General features: G+C 37.5%; 1 protein-coding gene and 1 non-coding gene across 13 annotated transcripts in view, besides 1 other annotated feature; both read right to left on the bottom strand.

Moving 5' to 3' along the window:
- The window catches only part of MARCHF6 (membrane associated ring-CH-type finger 6), an 86,694-nt gene that overhangs the window by 33,782 nt on the left and 29,600 nt on the right, over positions 1-23,312 (bottom strand). For 8 of the 12 annotated variants that reach the window (XR_925577.3, NM_005885.4, NM_001270660.2 and 5 more), the window contains 12 exons: positions 19,541-19,613; positions 16,107-16,275; positions 14,876-15,065; positions 12,464-12,525; positions 11,822-11,854; positions 9,263-9,314; positions 5,765-5,823; positions 4,468-4,548; positions 4,155-4,223; positions 4,000-4,074; positions 3,066-3,200; positions 930-1,049 (listed from right to left, as the gene is read on the bottom strand). Coding sequence is in view for 11 of the 12 variants with exons in the window: in NM_005885.4 (NP_005876.2) it covers positions 930-1,049; positions 3,066-3,200; positions 4,000-4,074; positions 4,155-4,223; positions 4,468-4,548; positions 5,765-5,823; positions 9,263-9,314; positions 11,822-11,854; positions 12,464-12,525; positions 14,876-15,065; positions 16,107-16,275; positions 19,541-19,613 (1,118 nt within the window). In the remaining variant the exon portion in view is untranslated. Of the gene's footprint in view, positions 1-929; positions 1,050-1,666; positions 2,037-3,065; positions 3,201-3,999; positions 4,075-4,154; positions 4,224-4,467; positions 4,549-5,120; positions 5,695-5,764; positions 5,824-9,262; positions 9,315-11,821; positions 11,855-12,463; positions 12,526-14,875; positions 15,066-16,106; positions 16,276-19,540; positions 19,614-23,312 lie in introns of those variants that run through there. The other 4 variants (XM_047416611.1, XM_047416613.1, XM_017008944.3 and 1 more) reach the window with 3 other exon arrangements.
- On the bottom strand, positions 4,176-4,243 carry MIR10397 (microRNA 10397). Its single transcript, NR_162106.1, has one exon. It is a non-coding gene; the product is annotated as a microRNA 10397 (primary transcript).
- Positions 5,541-5,590: an enhancer, noted in NCBI's record as "active region_22354". NCBI's record gives its function as "activates an Ori minimal core promoter by ATAC-STARR-seq in GM12878 lymphoblastoid cells {active_cell/tissue: GM12878}" and the evidence as "EXISTENCE:reporter gene assay evidence [ECO:0000049][PMID:35858748]".

Below are 23,312 nucleotides of genomic sequence, written 5' to 3'. Positions count from 1 at the left end.
ACCAACCTGGCCAACATAGTGAAACCCCGCATCTACTAAAAATACAAAAATTAGCTGAGCTTGGTGGTGGGCGCCTGTAATCCCAGCTACTTGGGAGGCTGAGTCACAACAATTGCTTGAAACAGGGAGGTGAAGGTTGCAGTGAGCCAAGATCATACCACCGCACTCTAACATGGGTGACAGACCAAAACTCCATCTCAAAAAAAAAAAAAAGAAAGAAATTAGATTTAACTATGTAATTTCTTCTTCTGGGTGGGGAAACTTTGACATGCTTCTGTTAAGAGTTTAATTTACAAGCCAGTAGTAAGTCTCCATTGCTTCAATGCAAATTAAACGTAATTCAGACAACCGTAATTTAGCAATCAATCATACCAGTGGTCCCCAACCATTTTGGCATCAGGGACCAGTTTCATGGAAAACAGTTTTCAACGGGATTTCAGGATGAAACTGTTCTGCTTCAGATCATCAGGCATTAGATTCTCATAATGAGCACACAATCTGGATCCCTCGCACTCGCAGTTCCCAATAGGGTTCCCGCTCCCATGAGAATCTAACGCCAAGGCTGATCTGACAGGAGGTGGAGCTCAGGTGGTAATGCTTGCTTGACCGCTGCCCATCTCCTGCTGTGCGGCCATTCCTAACGGGACATGCACCAGTACCCAGCCAAAACATGGGGGCTAGGGACCCCTGAATTATACTACTATGGAACAAGGAAGTATCTTCCTTTTAGTAAATATCTTTTTACATATTTATTTTAACAAAGTAACCAATAACACAGCTACTTGACAACTGAATACCACAGGCTTAGATAAATATATTATTCAATATACTCTATCAGCCTGCTTGAGAACTGGAAAAAAAAACCTAAACAAAACTATAGGTTAGCACAATTAATTCAAAAAAAAAAAACAATGGAAACATCTTCTTACCACTGACAAAATAAATCTTCGGAGATGCCTATATATTGGCAAATGGATCATTTCCTGTACTGGATTGAAATCTGGATCATTCAAATTCCTTAGAAACCACAGGACACCAGGTCGAAGTACCTGCAAATATATTTTAAATACTATGAATATTCACCAATGTCTTCAAATTCTATATATGAGCTAAAACATTAACAGAAAGATAAGCACTTAGAATTATTCTGGCATCTAAAGTGGGCCCCAGAAAATGTACATGGTATTCTTAGGAAAGTAAGTTCCTAAACCAGAATCTTTATGAAAACTACCCTGTGTCTGATGATGTCCTTTGACATCATCATTCACTAGGGGCGGGGGAAAAAAAAAACATTCATTGGGTCCAATGTGTCAAGAAATCTAGACCTCTGAGACGAAAAATAAATACAACCATTACTATCGTAAAAGGGTTATGTTGCAATTTATAAATGTACTAAATAGACGGTCTGATTTGCCTTCCCCCTGTAAATGAAAATCATCACCCAAGAGGCTGCAGGTGATGGGGTAAAGGAGGAGTCTGGGTACTAGTTCTATGTGGTCCAAACTCACTGAGTTACCCTCTGTGTAACGCATCTAATCTGCCCAAACTTCTATTCTCCATCTCCTAAACAAGGGGTTACAGTGTGTGATTTCTAAGGTTCTGCCTAAGTTCCACATATTAAAATTTTATATCAACAAAAACCACCACACTGATAAAATGAAAGAAATCATTATAAAGCATTTTATTCACTTAATGAAGTAATCTGGAGTTCACATATAATTACATTTTTAAGAAACACATTTCTGTACTTGCTTTAGTTCTCAATCAGTTGTTTCAAAGAAAGAATGAAAGCTTTAGTTACCAAGAGAATTTACTGAAATTATACCGTATGATTCAGGAGAATGCTTTGGTCCCTGACCCCTCCTCCTCTTCCTCAAATCTTTCAAAGAACAAAGTACACCAAGAGCAGCATTCAGCCTTTGTGCTTTTGTGTTCCCTTCTCACTGGAATTGTCAACCTGGTCCTCCACACCCTGCACATCTCCATCACCCGTCTCCGTGTAAACCAACATTTTCAATGCTGTATTCATTTTCAGGCTATAAAATCGAGGAGAACAGGAATTGTGCCTTTGTTTCTCACTGAAACCCCAGAATGCAGTATAGTGTCCGGCACACAGTGACCATTCAGTATTTGGGGAATGACTGAGCTTGAGATGTACACTAATCAAATACTCAACTGCTTTCATCATCTTCAAATCACTAAGAACCAGATTAGAAACATAGAACTAATAAAGGTATCAGGCCAGGCACAGTGGCTCACACCTGTAATCCCAGCACTTTGGGAGGCCAAGGTGGGTGGATCATTTGAGGTCAGGAGTTCAAGAACAGCCTGGCCAACATGGTGAAACCCTGTCTCTACTAAAAATACAAAAATTAGCCGGGCATGGTGGTGGGTGCCTGCAGTCCCAGCTACTTGGGAGGTTCAAGCAGGAGAATCACTTGAACTTGGGAGGTGGAGGTTCCAAGATCATGGCACTACATTCCAGCCTGGGCAACAGAGCAAGACTCAGTATCAAAAAGTAAATAAGTAAATAAATAAATAAATAAATAAATAAATAAATAAATAAATAAATAAAGGTAATCCATCAGGCCAGTGAACTGGAATCATAAAGGACCCTCATTGTAATTCTATACTTAAGGCGCCTAAATCAAAATGATTTTACATGTCTGATCCTGCAAAACCATATCCTTTTGGTTATTTCCAGCAGTACAGTTCCTTGAAGTCTGAGACACACTCACATCATACAAAATTCCAAGAGTCTGTATTAGAGGATGGCTAAAGTATATACGAAGTGTGACAAAATGAGTACTCTTATCTTTTTCCTCAGTTGAATCGTCTTTCAAACTCAGACAGAAATATTAAAACTTGCCAATTATGGAGACAAACAACTGAAACAGTTTAAAGTAATTAAGTCAAAGTCCCCTATAAGTTATTCCCTCTTAGAATAAAATAGTAGAGAATATGATTTAGGTAGGAAATCATCATAGCCTTTGAGACATGACTGGTGGTGAAAGCAAAAGTCCTTTTTATAAATGTACAGCATCAGCATTTCCCTGTGGACTTACCTCTCTCAGTAGTAGAATGAAGGAGGCAAAGTAGAAGACATATACCATTCCCACTAGCCAATGCAGAAACATGGTAGTACCTGGAGCCGACTGAAAGCTCAGTTCTCGATCTTTCAGAGTAGCATCAAACATTTCCTGAGACAAAAGAGGACAGGTAAGAGAAATCTGTGCCCCCTACATTTGCCAAGTTAACATTTTCATCTTCTAGGAAATAAATAATCAATATGCATGCAAGGAACAATTCCTAGAACTGCAGTTCACTTAATGTCATTCCACGGTGTCACAGAACTATATACAAGATTGGCTACTGCTTCAAATATAAAGAATGATAAACCAATTAGTAAAAGCTTTATTAATACTGATTCTATTAAAGAACTATTTTTGATGAATGTAAAAAATTTTCTTGGTTATAGGTCTGCATTCTTGAGAAGTTTTAAAAGTAAGGTATGGGAGGGTAAATGTTATCTCAGAACCAAAGGCAGCTTTTCTACACATAAAATATTTTTGAAACAATCAAAAACTGATTATCACTAACAGCAATTAAAGAGTATAATCAAGACTGAGCATATTAGTTAAATCAAATGATTAGGGTTAAATTTATTACTACAAAGACAGTTTCCTTATCAAATTATTCTCTATGTATATAATGTCTTGGCATTATCTACACAAATTTACGACAGCAAAATGGGCAATAAAATCCTCCACTATTAGAAAGATTCCACCCAAACTATCCTGACATCAAAAATTTGCACAAAGCCTCAAAAACTCAGGTACTCAAGAAAAATTAACATTAAGATCCTATACTGATACACATGCCAAAAGAATAAGCAAATTATCAAATATTTGCTTTCCTTTAAAAAGAATACATGCTGAAGACTTCCTCTTTTGAAGCCCTTAAATTATGCTATTATACAATAATGAATACTCAACTTACCAAGGAACAGATATCCAGCCACCAACCACAAATGAGAGGGAATACTCCAATTTCTACCACCACTAACAAAGAGACCTTAAGTGAAAATAAAGGTCATCAGTATCACCCAAATGTAGGAGAAATCATTTCCAATTTTAAGTTATAACAGGAATTACCTTAACAACAATATAGCAGACTCCCAGTAAGCGACGAGATCTATGAAATTTCACAAGAGTTGCCAAGCCCTACAGCATCAGGTCAAGGAAAAACTGAGTATTTAAAGGTACAATGAAACAGGTAACTACTTAGCCAACATTTAGTATTTTTTGACAGAATTAATTTATTTCACATTTTGTCCACACTGACCCTTACTGCAAATACCTACAACTTTTACTAAGAGGACAAGGATAGACAAGTTTCGCCATTAATGAAGAGTTCTTTGGTATGAATAATATTAGTGTACACCCAAGTTGGTTCATTAAAGGATACATGACAAATTATCAGTGTTATTGCTAAAAGTATATACCCAACTATGGTTGTGATTAGGCCTTCAAAATGAGATGCTTGGACCTGGAAATAAGAAAAAAGTAAATAAAATTTAATTTTACAACATGTTCTACACCCCGGTTTTCCCATATTAAACAATCTAAATGACTAAAAGAGAATTGTTGAGACAATTTATAACCAGGAAACAACTGTAAAATCTGCTTTGGATGACATCTCTGAAAACCAAATTCTCTCACTGACTGTTATATATTACTAAAAAATGAAGAAAAATTAAATAACACTTTACCCAAGGAGACAAAATAACAGTAGAGTGAATTAAATTTTACAAAAACAAGAGCACTGTAATACAACAGCCTGCCCTCTACTCTCACTCTAAAGCAGATTTGCTAAAGGCTAACCACTGAAAGCAGGAACACACTGCCCAAGTCACCCACCAGCTGGGTAATATCCTAGCCACCTCATTTCCTACCACTAGAAGTAACTGTTCAAGTTTCCCTTGCTCTGCAAATCTGTCCCATTCTCAACTTATAGAAAGAATTTTGAAAGTAACAGTGCCTGTCGGTATTTTTTGATTCCTGAGTTTCAGATAGCAAGTGGCAAAAGTTTGGAAAGTCAAAATTTTTCAAAACACTTACCTGAACCTTTCAAGTTCTTGCATTCAACTAGTGAGAATCAGAGGTGTACTAAATATGAGAAGACTTCAGAACGTGATCTCTCAGATCTCAAATATACAAACTGAGCATATGATCCCAGATAGTCAGCTTTTCCATAAAAGACTAAATTGTTCTAGGGCCCCAACAGAGAAGTAATAATCCTTCCAAAATTTATTTACCTCTGGAAAATACTGATAAAATGTCAAAACTAAAGCACTCTAGAAAACACTACAACCCGTCATTCCAAAATATTCTACCCTTTTTAAATTGATTGATATATTGTTACTTTTCTAAATTCAGCAGGGGGCACCTGGGGAAAGGGAAAGAAGAGAACATACAGGTTCTTGAGATGGACAGAAAATCAGCCTGTGGGAAACTTTCCCACGGTATGCCTCAGGCCCACCCAGCTGACTGGATTTCAGAGCACATTTTCATTAGTTGGCAACATGACCACTATCTCTTGAGCCACTGTTATTTTTTTTAAAAAAGAATGAGACGGTATTGCCTAACTATTCCCTTGCATAATGCCAATGAAGAAATGATGTAACTCTTTAGAATACTATTTTATTAATAATCACATTTGGGAGTAATGAATGAAAGTAACTTTGTAAAAGTATTATACTCACGTGTTCTTCAAATCCCAAACCAACAAGGGAGAAATGACCAATATGGTAAGGGCAAAATGCTAAAAAGGGGGAAAAAATTCCATGAAAACTCCGACATCAAAACAATGAACACTCCTACTACAATTCCCCACTAAAAGGAACTAGGGCTTCTTGGAGAAATGAAAGATTCCAGAACTAGGCTAAAAATACACTGCCTAGGACATTCTCTGTAACTAGAGAACAACAAAGCTATTAAGGTCTAATAGGGCCATGCCAAATCAACACAGAAACCATTGTGAAAACAGGCCAAAGAGAGGATAATATGAGCATCAAAAAGAATAATGACCAAAACTGATGGAAAAACACTGAACATACACAAATCCATGAGTTTATGATGCTCAAAAAAGGAAAAGTCCAAAATAATAATCACGAAAAGAGAAAAAGCAACATCAAAGAAAACACTTTGATGTTTTGGAAGCAGTTAGCACACCCATGTGAATAGTTAATACACCAATTCCTTATTCTGAAAACCAAAATTAATGGGAAAAATATGAGCATCTGTCCTACTTGCCCCGGACAGACAGGTTTGGGTTGACTGAATAGTCCCAAATTGATAAGAATTTCTTCTTCTTTCAGAAAAGTCAGCCAATAAATATAAAAAATGACTGTTTAAAATATCACTCCCAACAGATTATTTTATAATGGTAAAGGGAAAAACAAAACCTAAGATTAGAGGCCCAGGTTGATATCAGCTGAATCCAGTGATAAAAGTGGATAATCCAACATCATGTATCTCAGCTCCTCACATATACTATTAATAGGCACAGTGTGACCAGTGATGGATTTGTCCCAGATGTATTCAACCTGAATCTAATAAGGCCCTTAGATCTGACTTCCAGTTTAAGAGAAATATGGGAGACAAAGGATAAAGGCAGAGGACATCCAGGAAGCAGATGGACAGATGTAAAACATGACATGCTGCAAGAACAGTTAACCTAATCCCAGCAACAAATCAATGGCCAAATAGGGTGAGTTGGGGGAAGCAAAGAGAAGAGTACTCTAGATTAAAAGACTAATAACTTATAACTTAACAACTAAAAGTAATATGTGGACCTTATTTGGGTCTTCATTCAAAGAAACCAACTGCAAAATGGTATGTAAGGGACAACCCAGAGAGTTTGAATATGATGGATTATTAGGAAATACCAAATTCTAGTAATTTTGTAAGGTGAGATAATGGCATTATAGCTAAGTATGAAAGTATTTTTAAAACCTTTATAGCAAGAGAATTTTTATAGTCTTCTTTTTCCTCAAGTCTTTCTGGCTAAATTTTACTTCATTCCTAATAATAAAATATAGTTATCTTTTCTTTATGGTAGAAATAAATCGACAGCGCAGTAGATTACCAGGGGAGTGGGAAACTCAATCATGAAGACAGAAGTCAGAGTGAACCTACTAGGGATCTGGCCTCTAACCCTTTCTGACTATTTCATGGGTAAGAATATTTTTGAACATGTATTTCCAATATATTTAAATTTATTTATAAATTATATATACGTATTAGTTTACTAACATATTGTGTGTAATATAAAGCAGAAGAAATTTAATAAGGTAAGGAAAAAAACTGTATGTTGAATTTTGCCTATTTTGCTCTCATATCCCAGTCTGAAGATGACTCAACTAGGCCCCTGGGAGGGGCAAGTTTTAACTCTATTAGCAGATGTATTAAATAATTATTAACCTTAAATACCAGTTGCAACAATCAATTTCCATCCCATTACACACAAACTAATGGAAAGGCATCCTGAAATTAAGGACAATTTCTCAGGATTGTCACCTTCTAGTGGAAGACCACAGCTTTGTCAAATTATATTTCTGCAAAGCATATGACCACAAGAGCCAAAAAACTGCCTGTAGAAAACTTCCAACAGAGCAACCCATGCAAGAAAAAAACAGGAGGGTGTTTAATCCCAATGATTAAAAGAAAAAGTATGTTCCTAATGGAAGAAAACTTGTTTCATTTCAAAAGATTCCAAAAGATTCTAACTATATAATAAAACATAAGTTTACTAAGAAAATTCTTTTCGCAATATAAGCTCAGGAGGTTGGATTAGAAAAAGCTTTACTTAGATTTGATTTCTATAAATCAGAGTTCTTATTTGTATAATTCATGTTTTAAATGTGACCTGGTTCTCCAAACATTAATTTAGCATTAAGCTTTTCTGCAAGAGTAAAGACTTAAATCTATAGATCATTTTTTCTCTCAAAAAAAAAAAATGCAGTCAAGATCATAACAGTTTCACAGTCTATATATGAATTATTTTACATAATGAAAAATAAATGCAGGATAACATACAGACACCCCCACATGTAAAGGGAACAAAAAATCCTAATAAATCTGCACCTTTGTGAGTATCTACTAAAAATTAAGAAATCAATGGAAGTATCCGAAATACTTTGTTAACAAAATACAAGTAAATTTATCTTCCTCTTTTACAGATAATACACAGAAATCAATTTTTGGTCTCATCCTCAGTCCAAATATTCAAAGCCCCTTACACCACATGGCTTCTTATTAAAGACGTCTGCTTTACACGTCACAATGTAGTCCTCAACAGAGCAAATAACTTGGAATTTGGTGGAAGAAGCCTTGGGAAATCTCTACTCATCCTCTTCAGCAGAGCTGAGGGGTAAATCCCATGTACTAAGGAAGGAATTTCTCATAGATTATCCCTATATAGGGATATGTTGCCTGAAGTCTCTGAGACACAAATCATAGGACACCTAACAATAACCCCATTCCATCAGACTCTACGTCCTCACCCCTAAGAGATACAGAAACTGAATTCTAAGGCCTTGGTTTACTCAACTTAGTTTTCCTTACCTCTTCTGGAAAGGAGAAAAACCTCTGTCAACAGTGTCTCCTCAACCTTGCCTTTCTTTCTCTAATTAGTCCCAATGGAAGGGACCATTGTGTGCTGTCAAAGAATCCTCACAGCTGCCCTCGCAGAAGTGCTTGGAAGTGATTTTGTATGTGCTGGAATCTGGTTCTAAGGGGTGCTCACATTTGGGGAAGGCTTACTGTCTTCCCACAAGCCTACACTCAGCTCTGGTAACAGCTCCCAAGTCAAGATCTCTAGAAGGCAATGGTCAGGATTTTGACAGATGAAAACAAGATATTCCACCATAGGGAAGAGCACACACAATCAGCATAAAACTAATTCCAGAAATGGGAAACTGTATATTTTCAAGTCGGTCTAAAACCAGCTTCTACAAAAAAAAAACCCAGAAATGCCCAACAGAGGGAGAGATAGGTAGGTAACTGCAGTCACTGCTGCTTAGGAAAGTATCTGTCTGTCTGGGGCCTATCTATACAGGGTTTGTATCTGAAACTATTTTCATATACTGCTTAGTATTTATTTCTATGTTAAAAAATAATAATAAACCTATAACAAGGCTCCTACAAAACTAAATTCCTACCATAATACTATAAAAAAAAAAAGCACAAACACAACTTACCAAAAACAAGAATGAACAGTGTATTTAAAGATACCACCCAGAAGACATGTTCCTAAAGGAAAAAAGCATCAATAAAGCATATTCAATTCATACTTAATGTATGTTTAATTGGACTATTCCACTTATTTAGCTAGAGCCAAATAGTAAAAACAGCTAAGATTGAAATTTTCCCTCTATTGTTTTGGGATTTCAATCTAGACATAATATGTAACTTTCATTTTTCATTAGATAGCTCATACAACTAAGCCTAATAAAACTCAAAAATGTTACATGTACAAAAAACAAATTCATTTATAAACACTTCCTTTTTAGAAATAATCTACGACAAATTACATAGATTTTCATAACCACCAGATTTCATTTAAATCAAATGACACTAAAAATTTCAAATGGAGAAAAATTTGAAAGCCAAATTAATTGTAAACATCATGTTAACGTCAACTGCAGTGTTTCTTTCAACGTCCAATCTGCCTTCTTGACACCTACAAGGTCACTATTGCCTGGCTACCACTCCTTTGGAAAACTCTAGCTTGATCTCCTCTGGTCCCTCCACTCCCTATGGTGCCCTGACTTTCTTTGTCCTGTCTCACCTGACCATCTGGTCACCTCCCACAGTTACATACTGTCACCTCTAAGGCGACAGCTATCTGCCTATTCCTTCAGCCATGTTACACACACCTTAGCTATGCCCCATGCTGACACTGACCAGACTGCCCAAGTCCATTCATTCATGCCCACAACCTTCCCCGCAACCATCAAGTTAAATGATCCGTCCAAAGATCTTTTGTCTAAAAAAAGGATTTCTCTGTTCAGGTCCCCTAATCTTCCACAAATCCAACCAGAAAGAAGGGTAATTAGTTTGTGAATGACTACTACATTTCTTCTCACCATGTGGGCTCAATTTTTTCAACCTCTCTGCCTTAAGGGCTCCTAAATTTTCCCTATCCCCAACACATTTTATACTTCAACCTCTGTTATCTTCGCGGAAAATCTCCTGCTGACAAACTCCATTCCACTAAGAAAGACCTAATCAAACCCTCTTTTGTGCCCCTCTTGTGTCCTATGCACACTTTTTGTCACTGAGACTCCAAAACATTCCTTGTTTACATGTTCATTTCTCTCTACCACACTATAGAGCATCTTTGAGAACAGGGACCCTGTCTCATTCATAGGCATTGAATTCATAGGCACTGAATTCCCCAGTGCCTAGCACAATAGCTGGCACACTATACATATTAAATATTTTTTACTAAAATAATGAATTCATCCTGTCGAAGGTTTTTCCAATAATTCAAATGAGTTTGAGTCACCACCACTACCTCAACGACTTCTGTCCTTCATTTATGAGGAACTGATGGGGTAAGGAATATAAATCAGTATGTGGCCAAATAATGCTTTCTATACTGACTGTGATCAAACCATGACTAGAAGCTCATTAATATCACATTCCCACTAAACTGTGGAATTATACCAGATATGTTCCTAAAAACCTACACAACTGCTAAATTCAACATCCTCTTCTGGTTAACATCTGGAGCCAGCCTGAGGAGAAGGCCAACACTGAGGACAGCAAAGGAGACAGATGGAGATATCTCGGTCTCTGATGACATTGTTGGGCCTATGGATCAAGCAACCTCAAGCCCATTCTTCCTCTGGACTTCCTGTTAAATTAATGTTCCAACCAGCAGGGGTTCTGCTACCTGCAGCCAAAGTCATCTTAAGCTATTTAAAAATCCCAAATGGCAAATAACTTCATATTACAGGACCTGAAAACAGCACCATTTCTTCTTTAAAGAACAAGTTCTTTAAAGAATTGCTCCTCACCTTAGACTTGCAATCTTTACTAATATGGCAAAGTTCCTAGGTAAAGACAGGTGGGGTTCAGCAAACAGGAAAACCTAACATCAGCCTGGGGTGTCTCACTGTGAAAATAGGGAAAACTGCTTTGCTTCCACCAGTACAGGCAATAAACACTGCAAGATGAAACTTTAAAAGAAGACCAAGTTCTTTTTAACTACCATTAACTTTGGGGTTTATTTTCTTTGCTAAAAATCAAATATTTAACAATTTTTTAAAAATATTACCTTTATGCTTTTTCAATATTTTCAGCACACTAAACATACAATCTTCAACATATAAAGTAATTAAAAGCCAAAGGGCATCTTGACCTTTACTACATACTATAAATGTGAAGTTTCTGAATCACTAAGACAACTCCAATTCTGTTACTAGAAAGAATTAGTTTTGGCCGGGCGCGGTGGCTCACGCCTGTAATCCCAGCACTTGGGGAGGCCGAGGCGGGCAGATCACGAGGTCAGGAGATCGAGACCATCCTGGCTAACATGGTGAAACCCCATCTCTACTAAAAATACAAAAAATTAGCCGGGCATGGTGGCGGGCACCTGTAGTCCCAGCTACCTGGAAAGCTGAGGCAGGAGAATGGCATGAACCCAGGAGACGGAGGTTGCAGTGAGCCAAGATCACGCCACTGCAGTCCAGCCTGGGTGACAGAGTGAGATTCCGTCTCAAAAAAAAAAAAAAAAAATTAGTTTTACTTACCAGAAAAACTAGTGATCCATCAAGTCCTAGCATCTAAAATAAACAAAAACGATAAGCATTAATTTAAGATGCAACAGAACTTTCTATTCTAATTTATGAAAAGCCTCATTTTCCTTTCAATATCTTTAAACACAGTCCTCACCCACTTCCTATACTTTCCAATACTTCCTATCATTTTCAGAAAATAAAAAAAATTCTGTTTCTGAATGAGAGTTTTATATTTTGGGTCTCCTTTTATTCAAAATTACATGATTTATAAAGTCTAAAACAATTCCGTCTTGGATTTGTTACTCAAGATATACAGCTAATTAAGATTACTTCATAATAAAACTGTATTATTTTGTCAACTGAAGCATGAAAATACTACTTAAATTTAAATTGTTATTTTGTTTTTCAAAAGTCCACAATTTCAGGTAAAACATTTCCTAAATGGAGCAAGATTTTGTAAGACCAAAAAAAGCCACCAACATCACAATATTTTGACCATAAACAATATATCACTTAACTTTCACTAGGAATGAAAATTCTAGTAACTTTTCATCAACTGTAACGATAACATTAGTGTATACATCTAAATACACCAAAGTTTAAAATATATTTTAGGATTAAAACACCAGGATACTTGACAGAAAAAGGTCTTACTCTTTCCCATGTAAGCTCTTCAGCAGCTCGGTCCCATTCTAAAGCATTCCAATTCATGTCATCTGAAAATATAATTGCAATTTAAAGATTACTTGAAGTAAAAATAATAAATAATAAAAAAAATAGAATGCACTAAAAATAGTAAAATTTAGTACTTTGTAAGCTGTTGTTGAGAAGCTAAGCCACATTTCCATACTGAGTATTTGCTTGTCAGGGAACAAATAAGAATAAAAACATACATATAAATAAATAATACATATAAAGTAAGGTAATCCTAGATTGAGATAAATGCTAGAAAAGGAATAAATAAGGTTATCTGAAAGAGAGGAATTCAATAGCTCTAAGCCAGGAAAGAATCTGGCAGATTTGAGAAAAGTAAGGAAGCCAGGGAACTAAGGACATTCTGACTAATGATATGGGTAGTAGAAAGACAGAAATCAGATCATACAAGAGGAATGTGGAGTCTGGATTTTATTCTTTAGTAATGGGAAAACTACTAAAAGATTTAAAGGCAGCAGAGTAATATGAACTATGTGGAGCAAGAACGGAAGGAGAAAGAATAGTTAGGAGCTACTGTATTAGATCAAGAGAGAGAAATAACGGCCAGACTCAAGGGTAGCAGCAGGCTGTATTCTCAGAGCCTCTGACCTCCCCCTGCAAAGGCCCCCTGTTACCATTACACAAGTCGCTTTTTCTCATCCTTCAGAGGTCTCAGCTCAAATACCAGGTACTCTGAGCTACCTGGAAAACCTTATTCAAAATAGGTCTAGGCTGGGCACAATGGCTCATGCCTATAATCTCAGCACTTTGGGAGGCTGAGGCAGGAGGATCACTTGAGCCCAGGAGTTCAAGACCAGCCAGGACAACAGGGAGAACCCATCTCTACCAAGAAAACAAAAACAAAAACTAAATTAGCTGGGCATGATGGCACACATCTGTGGTCCCAGCTACTTGGGGAGCTGAGGTGGGAGGATCACTTGAGCCCAAAAGGTCAAGGCTGCAGTGAGCTGTGTTCCTGCCACTGTACTCCCTCCCAGGTGACCTTGGCTCAAAGGCAAAACCTTGTCTCAAAAAAAAAGGTAAATTAATAGGTCTCTCCCCAACAGCATCCTCAGAGCAACCCGCACAACACTCATCATGACGTGTATTTCCTACTTTTTCACTAAACCAGAAACTCCAGGAATGCAGCAGCCTAATGTTTTGGTCACAGTTATATGCTCAGTGTCTAACAGAGTACGTGACACAAAGAGACACAAAAATATCAGGCTGCCAAGTAGAACTAGAGATAGTGCAAAGCTTGACAGGAAAACTGTGGTGGGAGGGAGGAGGGGAAGTGAGTGACCAACAGCTGACTGGTAGACCCTGTCTTGGATCTTTTTTTTTTTTTCTTGAGACGGAATCTTGCTGTGTCACCCAGGCTGGAGTGCAGTGGCATGATCTCAGCTCCCTGCAACCTCTGCCTCCTGGGTTCAAGTGATTCTCCTATCTCAGCCTCCCAAGTAGATGGGATTACAGGCGTGCGCCACCACACCCAGCTAATTTTTGTATTTTTAGGAGAGATGGGGTTTCACCATGTTGGCCAAGCTGGTCTCAAACTCCTGACCTCAGGTGATCTACCCATCTCCTGTCTTGGATCTTATTTTACATTCTAGAGTTTACACTGCTAGAAAACGAGACGTTGATTTATTTAGATGGCATCTTGTCTGCAGTATAAACTTCAAGATTCTTTTTCAATCTTAGAAATTGCACTGACTCAAGGGACATGGAAAGAGAGAAGCAAATGAATGAGGTGAATCTGTATCAAAGTCCTTTATTTAAAAAAAGTAGTACCTAATCCAACTTAAAAAATAGTTTCTTCCTATCTATCCTATTAAAAAAGTCCTGTGTAGGCCGGGCGCAGTGGCTCACGCCTGTAATCCCAGCACTTTGGAGGCCGAGATGGGCGGCTCACAAGGTCAGGAGATCGAGACCATACTGGTAACACGGTGAAACCCCGTCTCTACTAAAAATACAAAATATTAGCCGGGCGTGGTGGCGAGCGCCTGTTGTCCCAGCTACTCGGGAGGCTGAGGCCGGAGAATGGCGTGAACCCAGGAGGCGGAGCTTGCAGTGAGCCGAGATAGCGCCACTGCACTCCAGCCTGGGCGACAGAGCGAGACTCAGTCTCCCAAAAAAAAAAAAAAGGCCTGTGTAAAAAGGATTTTAAAACACAAAACATGCCCTGTTTCATAGAAAAAAACATATTTATGCATATGTACATCCATAAATGCCAGTTTGCCAAAATAAAGTAAAAATAAGTTAGAAATAGAACTTCACAACATTAAAAATTTGAAAACGCCAGCCCTTTTCCTCAATGCAAGTTGAGAACAGATTTGCAGTGCTGAAGAGTGAGGACACACAAGCAGCCATTACCCTGGGCTCCGTTATTAGCATCTGCCGCATCCTCCACACCAGCGTCATCTTCCTCCTCATTGTCCTCCTCCTCCTCTTCTGCCTGGTCATCCTGGGCATCAGGGTTTTCCCCCACCACTGCGTTCTCAGCTGGTGGGTTAGCAGGCTGATCAGCAGCAACATTTTCTGCACCATTTCCTCCTGCTGGAGCCTAAAATCACAGAAAAGCCCAGAAATTTAGATCCACTTGTCTGTTTTGCTCTGTTTCCAAATCACATTATTCCTGCTAAAAAAAAAAAAAAAAAAAAAAAAAAAACCTAGGCCAGGTGTAGTGGCTCATGCCTGTAATCCTAGCACTTTGGGAGGCTGAGGCAGGCAGATTGCTTGAGCTCAAGAGTTCAAGACCAGCCTGGCCAGCACAGCAAGACCCTATCTGTACTTAAATTAAAAAGTTAGCCAGGCATGGTGGTTTGCGCCTATAGTCCCAGCTACTCAGGAGGCTGAGGAAGGAGGATCTCTTGAGCCCAGAGGTTGTGAGGCTGCAGTTAGGTGTGATCATGCCACTGCCCTCCAGCCTGAGTGACAGAGCAAGAGCCAATCTCAAAAAACCAAAACAAACAAAAAACTAGAAAACAAATATAAACTCTACTAAATTCTTTTTAAAAACAAAACCTTTCAAAGACATCTTTTTTAAATGTATCTGATGTGGGATCAATTTTAGTATATAAGAACACAACCTCACTTCATAACACGTGTACATATTCATTCAGTATAATTTAGCGGATTAACAGTTCACAAAGCATTATAGAAAATGGTTAACAAATCTGGCTCTCTTAAAAACATTCTGTAGTCCTTTTTATAAGACAGCCTTTGTCTTTATTGACAGCATCAGGGATGAAAATACATTTTTAAAAAAATGTACATACATATATACATACATGCTCTGTCATCAAACACTTGAGGAAATGTTTTCAAATTTCTGCTCAGTGGGTAAGACTGTGTACATGGACTTCAGTATACCCCCCAACGCTGTTCCCACTCTAACTAGAAAATTAAGAGGCAAAGTCGTAATACCACTTTCTTGATTTTTCACATCTCTCTTCATCTTCACCCAAACCTTTCCGCTGCCCTCCTTTGTAATAACAAAAGAATGTTTATGAGGGACATGGAAGTCAAGAGTTTGAGTCTCAGAGAGAAACAATAATTCTCATGACCTACCTAAGTAAAATCAATTTTGGGGTAGGGGAGTTACCTCATTTTGGTGATGCCCCGCAGCATTGAACGGTGGGGCAGCATGCTCCAACCAAATTGGTGCTCCCCCATGGACTATCTGCTCTCTCAACCACACCAGGCTGATGAATGCACACAGTGTGCACGTCACCACAAAACAACCCTGCAAACAATCTGCCAACAAATTTTCCCTATTAAAAAAAAAAGTACATATAATTACTCCAAAGAAGACTTAAAATTAGGAAAACAAAGGTAAAAAATTTTCTTATACTAAAGTCTCAGAAAAAAAAAAAACAGCCAGAAGAATAAATCATAATTTTTTGGATGAAAATCTCAAGTTTCTCCAAAAGAACTATTTGTGATTATGGTGAAATTCTACTTGCAAGAGAACCTATACATATTTACATACTTGTATTATGTATTTTATTTAGGCATCAAATACCATCAGAACTATATGGAAATTACCTATCCATAGCCTATCTTTTGAAAATGGCCTAGAAACAGAAAGGCAGCACGCAAAAAAAGACAAAAGCAGTCTAACACTTGACAAAGGCCATGCATTAAATTTATGTAATTTACCAAAGGTTAAAAACTCTGTCCAACTCTAAGAGTTTCTGTATCTTTATTTTACACATGTTTAAAAACTTGATTAGCTGACACCTGAACCCACACAAATTAATAGAATCATCAAATCAGAAAAGAGGAGAAGCTCCTCCAGATAAGTCTAATGACAACATAAAGAAATGAAGGTTGAGAGATATTCAGTATGCCATATGTAAGACAAAGAGGTCTATTATAAATTTTATAGAAGTTTGTCACTTGGCCAGGTGCAGTAGCTCATGCCTGTAATCCCAGCACTTTGGGAGGCCAAGGCAGGTGGATCACTTGAGGTCAGGAGTTGAGACCAGCCTGGCCAACATGGTGAAACCCCATCTGTACTAAAAATACAAAAATTAGCCAGGCATGATGGTGTGCACCTATAATTCCAGCTACTCGGGAGGCTGAGGCAGGATAATCGCTTGAACCCAGGAGGCGGGGGGTTGCAGTAAGCCAAGATTGAGCCACCGCACTCCAGCATGGGTACAGAGTGAGACTCCATCTCAAAAAAAAAGAAATTTTTCATTTAGAAAGCAAACCAAGTTTTGATGCTAACTGCAATCATACCAAAAGTGTATTAGTTTCTCAACAAATTCAGAAAGGCAAAGTATGGTTCCTTTAGTAATCATACAAGAAAATGCATCAAATATCATGATACTGAAGACCATTTTGTCCTTTTCCTTTCTTAAGAGGCTTATCTTTCCTTCCCTAGTCCATGTTTATGATTTCAGAATTATTCACAGATAACTCAAAAGCCTCTGGACTCTTAGCCATTGGAAAATCCATTATTTTAATGGAATCACTTTTTTCCTCCATAGAAAACCTGAGAAGGGTCAATCTGGTAGACCTTGACCCAGCAGCTCCAAACTTAAACTAAACTGGTATGGCCTCTAGGAAAATATAGTCTGCAATATGTCCTGAATCAAAAGAGGAATCCTAACTACCACCTTAGTAAGGAACTCTCCAGGCTACTAAATTCTGAAAGGTTGGGACCAAAATATCCCCTTTACATCTTCCTTGCTATCAGCAATAATCCTAACTGTTTGTTACAGATTTTAAACATTTGGTGACAAACTCTGGAGTCCTTTTTCCTTACTCCTTTAATCTGGGCTGGTTTTGTGAATCCTGGACAGAGGCGATGCTGCCCAAGTTCCAGAGCCCAGAGGAGGGCCTGCAAGCTTCTTCTCTTGCCCTTTTAGAATGCTGCCCTGAGACTACCATGTAAAGAAGCCCTACTAGCCTTTTAGAAGATAAGAGGCCACAAAGAGAAGAACCAAGGCATCTCAGACAAACCATCTTAGATCATTAAGTCCCAGTAAAACAGCTGAGTGACCTAGGCAAGCCCAATAGATGAAAAGCTCAGCTGAGCCCAGCCCAAACTGCTGACCCCAGAATTATAAGCAAATAAAATGGTAGCTGTTTTAAGCCACTAAGGTTTGGGACAGTTTGTTTTGCAGCAATAGATAACTGATACAGTGCACCTAGACATGACCTCAATTACTGAGCTACAGAATACATAGAAACTGGTAAGACATTAAGGAAATTTAAAGTAAAATTTCACAGAAAAAAAATTCTATAGAGAGTGTAAAACATTACTCAGAAAAAAAGTAGTTTGGTCACAACTGCTATCAGAAAAACTGGCTCAATTTTTCAAACTGTAAAAGACAGCTAAAACCAAGCCATGTTTATAATTTATTTTGACTAGCCCCACTAGGCTTCCAGTGGTCCTCTGGAGTCAATGAGTAGTCTAATGAAAGCAATTCAGGTGACCCTCAAGCCTATCAGGTGAGAGGGAAAAAGAAGCCTGCCAATATAAGGCAAGCAACAATGCTTAATATCAAGATATAGTAAAGTAACTACAGGCAAGTTCTTAGCATTTATATTCTAATAATCATGGAAAACATTTAAAAAATAAATTTGAGTTCAAATGTGTATGTTAAAAACACATGTTAAAACGAACTCTTGGGCAAGCACAGTGACTCATGCCTGTAACCCCAGCACTTTGAGAGGCCGAGGCAGGCAGATTACTTGAGGTTAGGAGTTTGAGACGAGCCTGGCTAACATGGTGAAACCCCATCTCTACTAAAAATACAAAATATTAGCCTGGCTTGCTGCCACATGCTTGTAATCCCAGCTATTCAGGAGGCTGAAGTAGGAGACCCAGAAGGCAGAAGTTGCAGTGAGCAGAGATCACACCACTGCACCCTACCCCAGGTAATAGAGCGAGGCTCCATTTAAAAAAACAAAACAAAAAAACTTTTGTGAACATAAGACAGTAGTATGTATCTCAAACTGCGTGACAGCCTATTTAAAAAGTCATCCCGGACGGGCGCGGTGGCTCACGCCTGTAATCCCAGCACTTTGGGAGCCCGAAGCGGGTGGATCACCTGAGGTCAGGAGTTCGAGACCAGAGTGACCAACATGGTGAAACCCTGTCTCTACTAAAAATACAAAAATTAGCCAGGCATGCTGGCGAGTGCCTGTAATCCCAGCTACTCTGGAGGCTGAGGCAAGAGAATCGCTTGAACTCAGGAGGCGGAGGTTGCAGTGAGCCGAGATCGCACCATTATACTCCAGCCTGGACAACAGAACAAGACTCCATCTCAAAAAAAAAAAAAAGAAAGAAAGAAAAGTCATCCCATCATTACAAAACAGTCCCATAAAACAGGTATGTTTTAAAAGAAGTGTCATTTACATTTATCAGCTACTTCTACTGCAGCTATAACTGTTAGTGTAATAGACATAAATTATTGTTCTCAAAACAAAAGAATTTACAAATTATAATAAAATAAATATGCAAGGAAAAAAGCAAGCATCATCTACATCATGCAACATTCGTCACAGAGGTTCAATACTCACGTTGACAGCATATCTAATGGCAGCGTCAGTAGTGAGCTCACGGAGCCAGTAAACAAGCACTTGTAGATGCGGCCTACCGAAAAAGAGCATGATGGCACACAGTCACAACTCGCATCATGAATTCACATAGCTGCTCAAGAAAGCAGAGGTAAAGTGGAACGCCACAAATGCCACTGAAATAAACATTTAGTCTTTACAAGCCTAAGTCTCAAAATATTAAATTTTTAAAAACACAGTCAAGCACAAATATAGTGACAATGAAGAGTAAATGTTACACAATCATGTTTAGCACTTAGATTCTCTCTAGGTTTAGTTGCTTTTTTTTATTGAATGAGCTTAGATGTTTGAAAAGAAAAATCTAAAGTAAAGATCTCCAAAATTATAATATAAAGAATTTTTTAAATTCTAGAATTCCAAAATTCATTAAGTCTGCTCATGACAATAAAAGGTTTCAGTTTTGGAGGTATAAGTCTTTGAAATTAAGAGAATTTTTCAGTAGAGTATGTACTGCAATGCCATAAATGGCAACCTGACAACCAATATTTTAAAAGCACAGATTCACAGGTCCTCTAAAATACAGAATATAATTATTCTAAATTCTGGCCATTTAGAGAAAGACAAAGTATGGGTGAACGAACTGCTATCAAGGCAGAAAGTCTTTTAGTCAGGAAAGCAGAATTCTAGACAGAATGAGATAACAGACCACAGATTTGAAAATGGGGCACAAGAATAAAAACCTGAGGCTTTCTTTCAAACCAGTATTTGTGTATTAGCTTAAGCATTCCCTATATAGCCTTGTATCGGAGACTTCCAATCAGATTTTCAGTGACTTCAATGGCTGTTTTCAAAACCAAGTCAAAATGGAAAGGTAGGAAAAGATTTTCTGTAATAAAAATTACTTACATGTTTATAAAATACTCAGACAAGTATGCTTGTAACAATGTAAAACTGACAAACCAAATGTTTAGATAGGTAAATGGATTCATGTGCAACAGGCCTTCTTACTACAGAGTGCTGTGTATCGCTAAAAAAAAAAAAATAAGACAGCACAACACTCACGTACATGGAAAGACCACCAGGATACGATGCTAAGCTAGAGAAAAGTTACAGAATATGTATCGTGTGATGTAATTTAAATTGTGTGTATCTGTATATAAACAAATTAGAACAGAAATCAAGCTTGTGATTAATAACTGTTAAATCTTGTAAGTCCTTACTTTTGCCTATTTCATCTACTGATTTCAAAGAGGCATGTTAAGTCTTTCACTATGACTGTGAATGCTTTACATATTTCAAGGCCCAGCTTTCTGGTGTATAAAAGTTCTTTAATTCTATTTTCTTAGTGGATTATGCCTTTTATTAATATGAAATATAATGCTTTGTCCCATTTAATGCATTTGAATGATAACTGGCTGATTAATATTGCTCTGGCTTTTTGTTAGCCATTTGCTAACAAAACTATTTTTGTATCTCTTTAGCATTAACCTGTGCTGCTTTGTATTTATCTCTTGTAGTAGTGCAAGTTTTATACCTACACATCTATGAAGCTCTCTCGTAACAGAGAAATCTAAACCCTTATGATTACAGATGTATTTAATTTTATTTCCCTACTTCCTTCCTCTGCATTCCCTTCCTTTCTTTCCTGCCTTTGTTTGAAATTTCCAAATTTTATTTGCTGTTTCCCACTCATCCTATTTCTATTCTTCTAGCACTTGCCCTTGAGTTTTGTTATGTCTTTATTAAAGTATATTTTACATAAATCTTAAGTGTACAGATGGGTGAATTCTTAAAATATGTATATCTTTGGTAACTACCACCCAAATCAAGATGTTCAACACTTCCAGCTCCCCAGAAGGCTCCCTCAAGCTTCTTCCCAGGCAACAGCCCCTGCAAAAGGTAACCACTATTCAGATCTCTACCACTATAGATGAATGTAACCTGTTTTAAAATTTCACACACATGCAATCATACGATTTTGTGCCTGGCTTGTTTTTGTCAAAGAAGCAAAATTAATCCATGTTATTCCATGTCACAATAGTTAGCTCTTTTTTCACTGCTATGTAGTATTCCGTTGCATGAATAAACCACGATGTATCCATTCTACTATTAATAGGCATTTGACTGATATCAGTTTTTAAGTACTATTAATAAAACTGCTGTGGTCATTCTTATACATATGTCCTTTAGTGAACAGAAAGTTCTTGTTCTGTTAGTTATATTCCCAAGAATGGAACTGCTAGATCATAAGGTATTTGTAATATTTAGCATCAGTAGATACTGCCAGTTTTCTAAAGTGGTTATAACATATGCGCTCCCCCTTGATCACTGTATACGTGTTCCAGATGCTCTATGTCCTGAGCAACATTTGGCACTGTCTACTCTTTTTATTTTTAGTCACCCTCCTTGTGCATTTCTCTAATGATGCTGAGCAGTTTTTCATGTGTTTATTGGCTACTGTCATCCCTTGGTATCCATGGGGAATGGGTTCCAGGACTCTCCTCAATAACAAAATAAACAGATGCTCACATTCTACAGTCAGCATTGCAGAACCCACAGATACGGAGAGCTTAGTATATTTAGCTATTTTTCCAGAAATACCTGTTCAAAATTCTGTCCACTGCTTAATTGGGATGTGTTTGCCTTTTTGTTATTGATTTATATACTCTAGATACAAGTCCTTTGTTGGCTATGGGTACTGCAAATATCTTCTCTCACTCCATGGCTTTCAATTTTCTTTTTTTTTTTGAGTGCCAGAATTCAATTGCCTTTTATTCTTAAAAGTGTCTAAGGATGAAGAGAAGTTTTTAACTTTAATTATGTTCAATTTACTAATATTTTGTTTTATGCTTATTCTCCTGTATTTTATTTTAGAAGTTTCTTTTTAACTTTCACATTCAGGCTTTTAAATTCATCTCAAATTAATTTCTGTGTTAGGTTGAGGTAATGATATGATTCTTTTTTTCTGTACGGCCATCTGATTGCTGCCATACCATTTACTGAAAAGACCATCTTTTTGCCACCGATCTGTGGTGGCACTTTTGTCATTAATAATGTAACAATGTAGTTTTGAGTCCAGTTCTGGGTAGTTATAAGTCTAGTCCACATTTTTAATGCACAGTTATGCTGTATTTTTCTACCTACATCTAGAACATCTATAATCTCCCCACAAATGAGATAAGCAATTTTAAAAGCTTTAATTTCTATCTTCCCGTCACAATTTCTCCCACGTTAAGATCATCTGGAATTTTAGTTCCAGGCTGTTACCCAAAAACTATTAATTATTGCAGATTAACAATTGAGACTTAGCTATATGAAACACTTCTTTGTATCTCACATCTTTCTCTCTGATTCCTTGCTCATTTAGTAAAGTATATCCTGTTTTTTCAAAAAGGTTTAAGGTAGTAAACTTTCCAATCCCTCACATCCATTGAAACATCTGTAGTTTGTCCTTCAATCTGAGAGTAATTTGCAGAAAGGGAATTTTAGGTTCAAAAACATCAAATTTTGAGTTTCCATTGTCTTCTAGCATTCAACATTGCTAATTTTAAGTCTGATGCCACTCTGATTTTCTTTACTTTGTAGGATAATCTGGAAGCATACAATCTCTATACCTCTATCACCATCGCCACCCTACCCAGCTCCAGAAAACTTGAGAATATGTCTAGGTTCATGAGACTTTTCCTTTACCATGGTCAGCTTTCTCGTTCAATCTAAAAGACACCAATTGTTTCCTCATCTCCATTATCTCTTTTACCTTGTGGAACTACTTACT

The sequence above is a fragment of the Homo sapiens genome, chromosome 5 (genome assembly GCF_000001405.40).
Source record: "Homo sapiens chromosome 5, GRCh38.p14 Primary Assembly".
In the NCBI taxonomy this organism is placed as follows: domain Eukaryota; kingdom Metazoa; phylum Chordata; class Mammalia; order Primates; family Hominidae; genus Homo; species Homo sapiens.
The sequence above is the reverse complement of the archived record's forward strand: the minus strand, read 5'-3'. Positions and strand labels throughout refer to the sequence as shown.